General features: G+C 38.6%; 1 annotated feature.

Annotated features, from left to right (window-relative positions):
• Nucleotides 1,081-1,582: an enhancer, noted in NCBI's record as "NANOG-H3K4me1 hESC enhancer chr3:67177475-67177976 (GRCh37/hg19 assembly coordinates)". NCBI's record gives its function as "activates a minimal SCP1, AML or CMV promoter by ChIP-STARR-seq in primed H9 embryonic stem cells {active_cell/tissue: H9 hESC(primed)}" and the evidence as "EXISTENCE:reporter gene assay evidence [ECO:0000049][PMID:30033119]".

Genomic DNA, 13,523 nt, shown 5'->3' on the forward strand with positions numbered 1-13,523 from the left:
GAATCCGAATCCTTTCCTACCCTATCTACATGTTAATGCCCTTTAGAAGCAGATGTCTAAAAAGTAAAGGACTTTACTAGCCAGCTGGGTGTTTAAGTCAGCTGGGAATCCTAAAAATGGGGGTGTATCTTCTGTAATGGAGTTGCTTATCAGTCCTCCAAAGACCAGGAACCAACTCAGACTTAGGAAGTCTTCCATTCAGTGTCATCATTTTGCATGAAAAGCCGAGTCTGGAGCCAGGCACTGCCATGGCCCAGCTCCAAGAGCTAGTAATGATTATGACGGCAAATAATAATGATAAATAATATTAATGGAAAATTTAGTAATATCCAAGCATCGTTCTAAAATCTTGACAGTTACTGAGTCATTTAATGCCGATGATAACCCAAAGAGTAGCTACTATTACTTATTATTATTTTCATTTTCAGGGCACAGAGTATTTAAATAACTTGTACAAGGTTGTGTGGTTATTAAGTGGCAGAACTGGGATTTTAATTATGGAAGTTTGGCCTTAGAGTCCATGCTCTTAAACACACACTACATTGGAATGCTTCTAAGCAAAATGGAGCTCCCCACCTTGCCCAAAGCTGCCTCACTGTCTTCTTCACAATCTCCAGTATCCTAGGTTCCTTTGCTTACTGACTCCAGAGAAGCAACAATCACTTCATTCTACCTGGTCTGAATGGATCTCATTCATTTAGACAAAGAGGAAGGCCAATGAGTCTCAATGCTTCAAGGTCTCAGTTTTCGGTTCTCCACATTGGCCAAGACTTTTCAGACCTCTCTTTCCCTGAGAGTGTGTTGAGGGTACCTAGTGGTTTTTTATTGGGTTCAGGTTTCTTGTGTTACTTCAGAAGGTAGGTCCTGAGCCTGCAGACTGAAAATTCTGGCTTAGCTGGCCTTCAGAGCTCTAGCAGCTGAGCCCTCTGGAAAACTTAGCCCTGAAAATAAATGATACTTGCCTAGTAAAACTCATCGCAGCTGGCACAACTTGCAGAGTTGAGTCTCTGTAGGAAGCATAAGCGACTAAGAGACATTGCCTTTATGGATTTGGGATGCTAAGTTAAACAGTGCATAATTTTCATTGGTATGACATTATTTTGGAGGAGAGGCCTGAGATAGCATTCTTAAAGAGGAGGTATTTCTATCATAGCAGATTGGTCCTGGAGACCTTTGACTCACGACATGCAAAATCATAAACTGAAGTGTCTTGTATGCTAAATTTATTCAGAAAAATAGAGATCCCGTCGCTGAAGATATGAAGACTGCAGCTGAAACTCATGTGGAGCTGCCTTTGGGGAAGTCTTAGGGCTTGGATTATGGAGACAAGGGCCAGGACATGATTCTGGACAGGGCATCGATGTCTTACATGAAAAGGAAACAGAGATTCTGGGATCTCATTTTCCTGTGTTGCTGAAAGTCTTGTCTCTCCTTAGGGACTGCCTGACTGCGTGAAATTCAATTCAATGATATTGTAATTCAAATCCTGCCAGTCACAACATCCTGCCTGTAATCTCAGATGACAAGGTGATCCTCAAAGTGGTGGGGCTGGTTTAGGGGATTCGTGGGAAAGAAGAAAAGGTATGCCATTTGGCAAGCTGTTAGTTTGGGCAATTTTGCTTCTTGACAGATGTACCTTTGTCCCAGAATGTCCCAGGAAACAGGGCAAATCCTGGAGACACCCAACTATCTAGTGTTACCATACACTGAATTAGGATTCTATCAAATTTTCCAGCAAACAGAGGAAATAGTGTCTACAAATAGCTATGTGACTTTGGGCATGAGTGCCAGCACTTGTCATTAACAAACTACCTCATTACCTTTGATTCTTACACCTTTCTGAAATGGTGGGACTGGAGAAGGAAAAATATATGTCATTATATTTATTCTGCCATTACTAGCACCATAAGACTATTTAACTCCAAATTAATTTTGTCTATTAAGCTGTTGTGACTCTGATGTAATCCTTCCTGTTAAGACAATAAGATTTGTTTTTAAAAATATATGATACATGATGCAAGATTTGAGTAATCATTTTGGTGACCAAGATCATTAAAAGAAACCAGTAGTATTCCTGGATTTGGACAACAAGGGCCCGAGAACCTTACTTTAGTGGCCTCGCATATCAAAATACTGAAAAAATAAACTTACTAAAAAACACGTGGCCCTTCTGTCAATTGGGATTTAGCCTTCCACACTGTTGCAGCGTGATCCATAAGTTTAATCATCCCCTCCTGGGACTGACCCTATTCAGGCTCAGAAAATGTTTCTGCACATCTCCAATGTGCAGAAACAAAAGATGTACTCAAACAAAAGATGATTTCTACCAAATATCGTAAAGATGTTTGGGTTGAGCAGCCTGGATGGAATTGGAGACTGTTATTCTAAGTGATGTAACTCAGAAATGGAACATCAAACGTCGTACGTTCTCACTCATAAGTGGGACCTAAGCTATGAGGACACAAAGGCATAAGAATGACACAATGGACTTTGGGGACTCAGGGGAAAGGGTAGGAGAGGGGTGAGGAATAAAAGACTACACATTGGGTACAGTGTACACTGCTTGGGTACACACAGATCTCAGAAATTACCACTAAAGAACTTACTCATGTAACCAAACACCACCTGTTCCCCAAAAACCTATTGAAATAAAAAATAAATTAGAAAAAATTGTGGTTTGTAGTGCTTCTGACATAGGAGCCAGATGCTGCTATGGAATGTGGGAAGGTCTTGAGAGCTAGAAGAGCTTAGGTCAGAGATAGGCAAATTAACTTGTACAAATTCTTCAGATTGTAAAAATGCAATATATTCCTGCATAAAAAAGCATCATTTCCACTTATGTTGAATATCCATTTTCTTTATACTCTTGGTTTTCCAATTTATAGTTTTAGAAATATTTGCAAGTTATCATGGTATTGACAGCAAATGCCTATGGAAGCTGAGGAATATTTTGCTACATTAAATTATCCATATTGCTGCTAAACATGTATGTACACCAGTCTACTCTAGACCTCATGCATGAACTGTGTCACCAATGGTTTATACTGGCAACTAAGTGGATGCTGAAGCCTGACATTACAAATACTATTATTTTTATAAATGCAGTCAAGATAATTTAATTAAAAAAGAACATAAGATTTTAGTTTTTAAAAATAATCTTGAGTTAAAATGTATAATTATAATTACTATTTTGACTTTTAATTTTAACAAATACTTCCGAATAATTAAAAATAACTTTTTTGAAAACACTTAACAATGACTTTAAGTTCAGTTTTTACCATTTAATTTCATTTGTATTTTTGATGAAATATTAAACATATAAGTAGATTGAATACTATTCCATTTAATTTTCTAATCCTTTAGATTATCATTGTCAATAGAATGTAAAATAAGTAAAATTATGATTATGGCAATATAATTAGTAATTTTGCTAAAATCAAGGCCAAAACATTTTTGCAATAAATATGTAATCAAACAATAATTATTTCCTGATTTTATTACTCATCTAAACATCACTATCTTAATAACTGAACACCCAGAATACAACTTAATAACAATCAAATTCAGTTGCCTTTAATACTTGGCAAACTATCAGCCACATAAGAAAGATACCTTCATACATATTTTTATTTTGCATAATGAAGTTATATTTGCCAAAGTAGAAAGATAGAATTAGTTTTATTTAATAGTTTGTTAGATGAATTTATAACTTTAAACATTTAGAGATATTGTATATGGGCTTCCATTTATTCTCTTGCCCCAGGGCCCACAAATGTCAGGGTCATAATTGAGGGAAACAAAAATTCTTTCCAAAGTCACAATTTGTGACGTATATCTCTTGAGGAGGGACTATTTACAGTATTGCCTCCTAGATTCACCCTCAGCAAAAACTTTTACTTGGCATGAGCAATTCTATTTTTATAGCTAAAATGTTGTGGACCTTGATTCACTCTCCAATTAACCTTGGCAAACTTAGAAGATGTGGGGAGTTTGAAGAACTTATAATTCATTTCTGCACACACCACCCATGAATCCAGTTCACAATCTATCACTGATCTTACACAGCCCCAGGAGCCTGCTCTGCTGCTGTCCTCCTCAGACCAAACTGGGTCTCTATGCCTTTTCAGAGCCCCCCCTCCTCCTTCCTTTACTACTCTGGACCTTTCTCTACCTCAGCCTCCTCTACATCAAAATTCTCCTACTTTGTTTCCCATTCCTCCTGGGCTTGCTCTCTACCTTGCATTAAGGTTTTCCCAAGTCCGGAGTGAGCTCATTAAATCTCTTGCCTTGGAAAGGAGCAAGGTGAGAGTAACAGGGAAGTCTTGAAGCGCTTCTGAGAGCAGAAATATGGCAGTTAACTCTGGATTCAGGGAAGTAAGTACCCCCAGGCGAGAGAAATGTCTGTGTATCAGTTACTTTTGCTCCACAATGAAGGTTGAAAGTGGAGATGTGCAGAATCCTAACTGTGTACTTCCTTCTTACTGGAGTTGCTGTAATAGGGCAGTTTGTAATTACGTAAGTGGCAGGATTATTTATCTTTTAATTTGTGCTTATTTTTGCTGTAGCTTTCCCTTCACCCACTCCAAGCAAGCAGCCAGTCTTTGTATTCCTTGTATTGTGAATTTTGCAGGGTCCATTAAGAAATGGCAGGAAGTTGACTCTCTTTCTTTTCTTCTGTGAAAGCTTGAGCTTAGGGGAAATATGATGTTAGGTATTTCTAGAGAGGAGGAGGGAGAGGTAGCTATACTTGAGGATGGCAGGAAAAGAAAGAGAGGGTTTTTTTTCCATCCCTTGACTGGAAAGCGGATGCAAGTCAGGAGGCTCCATGAGCACTGGGGACTGTGTCCTGCCCCACGACAGTTTCTTACAGATAGATCCATAGTTTTAAGGGCATGCCTCACATGTATATTTAAGAAAATTGAACCCTAGCTCAATTCTCATTCTTGCCTGTGCCTCCCAAACACAACAACACAGTTGCTGGTTTTAAGCAACCTTGTGCATGTAGACAATGAACACAGCAGTAATAACTGTTATGGATCAAAAACCTGATGCCTTGGCACAAGGTGAGGGTATGGGGAGCCCCAGCAATGACTAAGAGACTGAATTTTCAGCTACTCCAGTGGAATCAGGGCTCATGGTTTAATGTAAGTTTGTTTTGTTAAAAAATAACTTTTAGCTTTGGAATAATTTTAGATTTACAGAAAAATTGCAGAGAGAGTACAGAGAGTCCCCAATATATACCTGACCCAATTTCCCTATTGCTATCATCTTATATTACCATGGAACATTTGTCAAAACTAAGAAACTGACACTGATACATTACTATTAACTCAACTCCAGACTTTATTTGGATTTCACCAGTTTTTCCAATGACGTCCCCTTTCTGTTCCAGAATCCTATCCAGGGTACCACCTAGCATTTAGTTGTCATGTCTCCCCATCTCTACTGGTCTGTGGCAGTTTCTCAGTCTTTCCTGTTTTTCATTACCTTGGCAGCCTTGATGAACACTGGCCAGGTATTTATAGAAAGTCCCCCAGTGTGAGTTTGTCTGATATTTTTCTGGTGATTACACCGGGAATGTGGATTTTTGGAACAAATGCCACCAAGATGAAGTGGTCTTCTCATTGCATCATATCAGGGGCTAAAATTCTTCTCTTTAAAACCAGAAAAATGGACAATTCTCACACATCAGGATTTGTAGGTAAAGATTCATCGTTGTCATTTAAACATTCTTATACAAAAGAAGTTCAGACCAGTGTCACCTAAGAGAATCATAACCCTAAGCATTGTAATTGAAGGAGAATTCAGCAGCTCTTGCCTTTCCTCTAGGAGAATTCAGCAGCTCTTGCCTTTCTTTTAGGTTAGTCAATATTTCCATCAAGACTCCTAACAGACCTTCTTCTGTGTTCTGCTGTGATTCTGGGACTTGTTTAAATACCGATTTCTTAAGTATTTGAGGAAGTCTTTTGAAATCTTGTTTAAAATCAACTTCCTTGCTCTCTATACTTTTCATACCCCTTTTGGCTAAATATAATTAGTTTTATTTGAATCTTCATGTTTTTTTTTAAATACATAAACCAAGAGCATACGGTTCCAGGGGCTCAAACCAGCATTCTCTCATGGTGGTTTCTAGCTTACAGGAACTCATTCATAATAACATATCTAGACTGGGTTTTAATAGTGTGGAATAAATTTAGAATTCATAATAAGAACCATGAGAAGGACAATTATCAAGGTTATTAAAAACAATTATTTCTTACCTCATTTTCACTACAACTTTCAGCCCTCAGCACATCCAGGTCACCATGTAGGCATTAATCAAAATGTTTCCTCTAGCACTGCTGGAAATTTTGACCCATGGATAATGATTGATGGTCCCTTCCCAGGGATTGGATGGCTGTTCTCTAGAGAGGCTGGACATCTGACCCGGGCAGAGAGCATTCACAAGGCATTCACAACTCTCCCACAGCAGGTGTACATCTGTTCCACCAGGATGACATCCTCCTCTCTTTGTCACAGTTACTTACTCTTATAAAAGAGTTCTTGGATGTTGACATTCTTCTCCTTCTTTGAACAAATAGAAATCTAGAGACTTCACAGAATAGATGTTGGCTTTTTAATGATTATTTTAGATAGAAATGTTCTGCTGGTCAACAAATGCTAAGACTGATGTTCTTTAAATACACATGTTCTGGTGTGTAATGATGGAGTTATTAGAGTAAAAGGGGTTCAAGAGATTGCAGATACCTTTATCTTAGCTCTGTCCCACAGAGCAATGGTTCAGTATACTACTGGTTAGTTTGGGAACAAGGCTACCATCGTTTTGTTTTTCTCAGCCAAACAAGAACTTACACAACACTCTAACCTTTTCTATGTTGGAAGTAGGAAGATTTCCATTTGCTCCACAGTGGCGTCTTTACCATAAATATCTTTCCCATTACTTATGTTTTCATTCACAGAGAATAGTTTGATAATGTTCTAAAGGAGAAAAACATAAGGAATGTGTGTATGGTTAAAACACCCAACAGATATCAAAATGCAAGTTTCATTGCAGTCAGGCCCATGTGAGTCAGGCTAGCTCTGGGCAGAGGTAGGTAGAAACAAATCTGAAGAACAGGGAGGAGATAACTATACCAGTGAATCAACCTTTAATTGTAGGCTGACTGTAGATAATGAATCAGTTAACCTGTTCATTTCCACAAATGCAAATCCTATGCTACATAAGTTTGGCTTTTACCAATGGGTCTGCCAAGTACAATTTAGGTTGAACCACTAACACAAAGATAAAATAAAAATTCACATTTAATTTTGTTTTCTAAGGATGTGGAAGGAACTGTATGGTCCATGCTCAAGCACAAGTTATAATTGTCCATTATGTCACTTTCATTAATATGGGCCAATAGAGCTAGAATGTAACACCTATGCAGCATCAGCAACGCAGTAAAAGTATCTCCTGAAGGACAAGATCTGAATCTGGTAGGATCAATGTTTTCCTCACTAACTTTGCCACTTTTGAGGTTTTCAGGACTATTCCTTGCAAGCTAAGGAAATAGGAGGAGTGTCGAGATCAAAGTCGACTCTCCCAAGTTTCTCTCTCTTTTTTTTTGAGACGGAGTCTCACTCTGTTGCCCAGGCTGGAGTGCAGTGGTGTGATCTCGGCTCGCTGCAACCTCCGCCTCCCTAGTTCAAGCGATTCTCCTGCCTCAGCCTCCTGAGCAGCTGGGATTACAGGCATGTGCCACGACGCCTGGCTGATTTTTGTATTTTTAGTAGAGACATGGTTTCATCATGTTGGCCAGGCTGGTCTCGAACTGCTGACCTTATGATCAGCCGGCCTTGGCCTCCCAAGGGGCTGGGATTACAGGCATGAGCTACCACGCCCGGCCCTCTTGTTTAATACTATTGATACGTTATTCAAAAAGAGCAAAATGCTGAGGCTTGAGGTCACTTGAGGTCAGGAGTTTGAGACCAGCCTGGCCAACATGGTGAAACTCTGTCTCTACTAAGAATACAAAAATTGGCTGAGTGTGCTGGTACATGCCTGTAATCCCAGTTACTCAGGAGGCTGAGGCAGGAGAATCGCTTGAACCCAGGAGTTGGAGGTTGCAGTGAGCTGAGATCGCGCCACTGCACTAAAAGTGGCAAGCTGATCAGAGAAATGTTGTAAAATGCCCTGATTATGGCCCACTTCAATGCTACAATGCTTTATATGCATTATCCCCATTTTAGAGACAAAGAAACCAAGGTGTAGGAAGGTAGAATCACTTGCCCAAAGTGACAGTTAGTAAGTGGTGAAGTCAGAATTCAAACCCAGAGAATTTGATGCTGGCACCCAAGTGCTTAGTATGCATCTTTCTCCCTTTCTTTTCTGATCTAGAAAAGATTGCTAAGATAAAATGTTTGAGATAAACCTAGATTAAAATCATTGATAGGAAAGAAAACCAGTCATGAAATAATCAGGCGTTAGAAAGTTGGGTCATAAATTAACTTGCCAGCACTGAGTAGTAACAGAATTAATTGTCTCAGTCTACTTGACTTTAGCTATGTGTTGAAACCAGTCATTTTCCTTAATGATACTTGCAATTTGCTCCCTATCTTCTTGCAATTAGAAGTTACTTTCAGATCAACTGTGTCAGGCACACAGGCTCCTCTTTTACTATAAAATACCAGGACAACAACTTTAGGAGCTTTTGGAGCCACAGTTAAGATTGGGCAAAAAGAACTGACTTCAGCTCATGAGCTGGCTTTTATCTGTGTGAGAAGAATGAAGGACAGGGTTGGGAGACTTACATTGCTTTTCCTTTCACTGTCTTCATTGGAATCTATTAATTCATTAATTCTAGCCTCCTCTCTGGAATTACACTTTTTTTTTTTTTTTGCCTGTTCTCTCACAAGTCCAGACACAATACTTTCACCTTCTGCCCAGAGGACAAAATACTTTTCTGAAATGCCTCAACTGTTATCCATCCAGCCATCCATCTATCCATCCATCCATCCATCCATCCACCCATCCATCTATCCCTGCCTCCCTCTATCCATCCTTCCACTGTTAAGTGAGACCTTATGAATTAAATCAATCTTATACAATCTCATTACATCATAGAGGATTCAATTAGAAAATCCTCAAACCAAAAAAATAACTTCACTTATTACCAATTTAAATGGGAGCAAATAGAACAGTTTGCTTGTCAGATTTCCAAAGCCAAACAATTGTGAACAGTGATAAAGAATAGTTTGAACACTGCTGTGGCCATGGAGTACACTACCCAGATCTCCTTTCTCTTGGGGAAGAGCTGAGAAGAGGATAGCCGGCCAAAAGCCTCCAGCTGCTACACCTTCAGACTCACTATGACATTCATGCCAAGGTCATGTTTCCCCACAGCTCCTCAAAGAGAGAGTCTAGAACACAGTAGGGGTTCTAGAGCTGGGCCATTTCTGCCCGATATGGAACATGGGCATACTTTGTATTCCAATGGACAATCTTTGCTTGGGTACTCACCATCCACTGGGTGAGACTTTCTCAGAGCTGTGCTATAGTCAAAGGTGCTTCCTACTCAATACCTCTTCCTTTGCTTTCTCCTTTCAAATGCGTCAGACCTGCATTAAATCTAAAGTTTCCCTTTGCCTACTCCTGCTCCTTTCCTATTTTATCCTTCACGGCATTTTCCCCAATAAATCTCTTGTATGGCTGATCTCGTCTTGGCACCTGCCTCTAAGAGGAACTCAACAGAAACAAACACCAACTTTTCATGTTTATACATATCACACATACTTGGTCCATTTTCAAGCTGTACTCAACCACAATTTTGAGTTTTGTGCATCATACATGCGTAATTCCCAAATTTAATACCTGATGTTTAAGCTTGCTCTGAAATCTAAATGCCATATATCCAACTAACTAACAGCTTTACTTGATACATCCATGTTTAATATCTCATGTCCAATAACTATGTTCTATACTTCAGCCATACTGGATTTCTTTAAAAAAAAACAAAATATTTATATAAACATAATGATTCTTTTTTTATATTATTATACTTTAAGTTCTGGGATACATGTGGAGAACGTTCAGGTTTGTTACATAGGTATACATGTGCCATGGTGGTTTGCTGCGCCCATCAACTTGTCATCTAGGTTTTAAGTCCCACATGCATTAGGTATTTGTCCTAATGCTATCCCTCTCCTAGACCCCCACTCCTCAACAGGCCCCACTGTGTGATGTTCCCCTCCCTGTGTCCATGTGTTTTCATTGTTCAACTCCCACTTATGAGTGAGAACATGCAGTGTTTGGTTTTCTGTTGCTATGTTAGTTTGCTGAGAATGATGGTTTCCAGCTTCATCCATGTCCCCGCAAAGGACATGAACTCATTTTCTTATGGCTGCATAGTATTCTATGGTGTATATGTGCCACATTTTCTTTATCCAGTCTATCATTGATGGGCATCTGGGTTAGTTCCAAGTCTTTGCTATTGTAAATAGTGCTGCAATAAACATACATGTGCATGTGTCTTTATAGTAGAATGATTTGTAATCCTTTGGATATATACCAAGTAATGGGATTGCTGGGTGAAATGGCATTTCTGGTTCTAGATCCATGAATAATCACCATACTGTCTTCCACAATGGTTGAACTAATTTGCACTCCCACCAACAATGTAAAAGTGTTCCTATTTCTCCACATCCACTCTAGCATCTGTTGTTTCCTGACTTTTGAATGATCACCATTCTAACTGGTGTGAGATGGTATCTCATTGTGGTTTTGATTTGCATTTCTCTAATGACCAGTGATGGTGAGCTTTTTTTCATATGTATTTGGCTGCATAAATGTCTTCTTTTTAGAAGTGTCTGTTGATATCCTTTGCCCCCTTTTTGATGGGGTTGTTTTTTTCTTGTAAATTTGTTTAAGTTCCTTGTAGATTCTAGAAATTAGACCTTTTTCAGATGGATAGATTGCAAAATTTTTCTCCCATTCTGTAGGTTGCCTGTTCACTCTGATGATAGTTTCTTTTGCTGTGCAGAAGCTCTTTAGTTTGATTAGATCCCATTTGTGAATTTTGGACTTTGTTGCCATTGCTTTTGGTGTTTTAGTCATGAAGTCTTTGCCCATGCCTATGTCCTGAATGATATTGCCTAGGTTTTCTTCCAGGGTTTCTATGGTTTTAGGTCTTATGTTTATGTCTTTAATAAATCTTGAGTTAATTTTTGTATAAGATGTAAGGAAGGGATCCATTTTCAGCTTTCTGCAAATGACTAGGCAGTTTTCCCAACACCTGTTATTAAATAGTGAATCCTTTCCCCATTGCTTGTTTTTGTCAGGTTTGTTGAAGATTAGATGGTTGTAGATGTGTGGTGTTATTTCTGAGGTCTCTGTTATGTTCTATTGGTCTATATATCTGTTTTGGTACCAGTACCATGCTGTTTTGGTTACTGTAGCCTTGTAGTATAGTTTGAACTCAAGTAGCATGATGCCTCCAGCTTTGTTCTTTTTGCTTAGGATTGTCTTGGCTATACAGGCTCTTTTTTTTTTTGATTCCTTATGAAATTTATAGTAGTTTTTTCTAGTTCTGTGAAGAAAGTCAATGGTAGCTTGATGGGAATAGCATTGAATCTCTAAATTACTTTGGACAGTATGGCCATTTTCATGTTGTTGATTCTTCCTATCCATGACCATAGAATGTTTTTCCATTTGTGTATGTCCTCTCTTATTTCCTTGAGCAGCATTTTGTAGTTCTTGAAGAGGTCCCTCATATCCCTTGTAAGTTGTATTCCTAGGTATTTTATTTCCTTTGTAGCAATTGTGAATGGGAGTTCACTCATGATTTGGCTCTCTGTTTGTATATTATTGGTGTATAGGAATGCTTAAACTTTTTGCACATTGACTTTGTATACTGAGACTTTGCTGAAGTTACTTATCAGCTTAAGGAGATTTTGGGCTGAGACGATGGGGTTTTCTAAATATACAATCATATCCTCTGCAAACAGAGACAAATTTTGAATTCCTGTCTTCCTATTTAAATACGCTTTATTTATTTCCCTTGCCTAATTGCCCTGGCCAGAACTTCCAATATTATGTTGAATAGGAGTGGTGAGAGAGGGCATCCTTGTGTTGTGCCAGATTTCAAAGGGAATGCTTCCAGCTTTTGCCCATTCAGTACGATATTGGCTGTGGGTTTGTCATAAATAGCTCTTATTATTTTGAGATACATTCCAACAATACCTAGTTTTTTGAGAGTTCTTAGCATGAAGGGCTGTTGAATTTTGTTGAAGGCCTTTTCTGCATCTATTGAGATAATTGTGTGGTTTTTGTCATTGGTTCCATTTATGTGATAGATTACGTTTGTTAATTTGCGTATGTTGAACCAGCCTTGAATCCCAGGGATGCAGCCGACTTGATCTTGTTTGATAAGCCTTTTGATGTGCTGCTGGATTTTGTTTGCCAGTATTTTATTCAGGATTTTTCCATCAATGTTCATCAGGGATACTGGTCTGAAATTTTCTTTTCTTGTTGTGTCTCTGCCAGGTTTTGATATCAGGATGATGCTGGCTTCATAAAATGAGTTAGGGAGGAGTCCCTCTTTTTCTGTTGTTTGGAATAGTTTCAGAAGGAATGGTAGCAGTTCCTCTTTGTACCTCTGGTAGAATTCGGCTGTGAATCCTTCTGGTCCTGGGCTTTTTTTGGTTGGTAGGCTATTATTTACTGCCTCAATTTCAGAACTTGTTATTGATCTATTCAAGGATTCGACTTCTTCCTAGTTTAGTCTTGGGAGGGGATATGTGTCCAGGAATTTATCCATTTCGTCTAGATTTTCTAGTTTATCTGTGTAGAGGTGTTTATAGTATTCTCTCTGATGGTAGTTTGTATTTCTGTGGGATCAGTGGTGATATCCCCTTTACCATTTCTTATTGTGTCTATTTGATTCTTCTCTCTTTTCTTCCTTATTAGTCTGGCTAGTGGTGTACCTATTTTGTTAATCTTTTCAAAAAACCAGCTCCTAGATTCATTGAGTTTTTGAAGGGTTTTTCGTGTCTCTATCTCCTTCAGTTCTGCTCTGATCTTAGTTATTTCTTGTCTTCTGCTAGCTTTTGAATTTGTTTGCTCTTGCTTCTCTAGTTCTTTTCATTGTGATGTTAGGGTGTCCATTTTAGATCTTTCCTGCTTTCTCTTGTGGGCATTTAGTGCTATAAATGTCCCTCTAAACACTGCTATAGCTGTGTCCCAGAGATTCTGGTACGTTGTGTCTTTGTTCTCATTGGTTTCAAAGAAATTATTTGTTTCTGCCTTAATTTCATATTTACCCAGTAGTCATTCAGGGGCAGGTGGTTCAGTTTCCATGTAGTTGTAAAGTTTTGAGTGTGTTTCTTTTTTTTCTCCTATTTTTATTTTTATTATTAGATTATTTATTTTTAAATATATATATATTTATTATACTTTAAATTCTAGGGTACATGTGCACAACATGCAGGCTTTTTACACATGTATACATGTGCCATGTTGGTGTGCTGCGCCCATTAACTTGTTATTT

This window comes from Homo sapiens, chromosome 3, assembly GCF_000001405.40.
Source record: "Homo sapiens chromosome 3, GRCh38.p14 Primary Assembly".
NCBI lineage: Eukaryota > Metazoa > Chordata > Mammalia > Primates > Hominidae > Homo > Homo sapiens.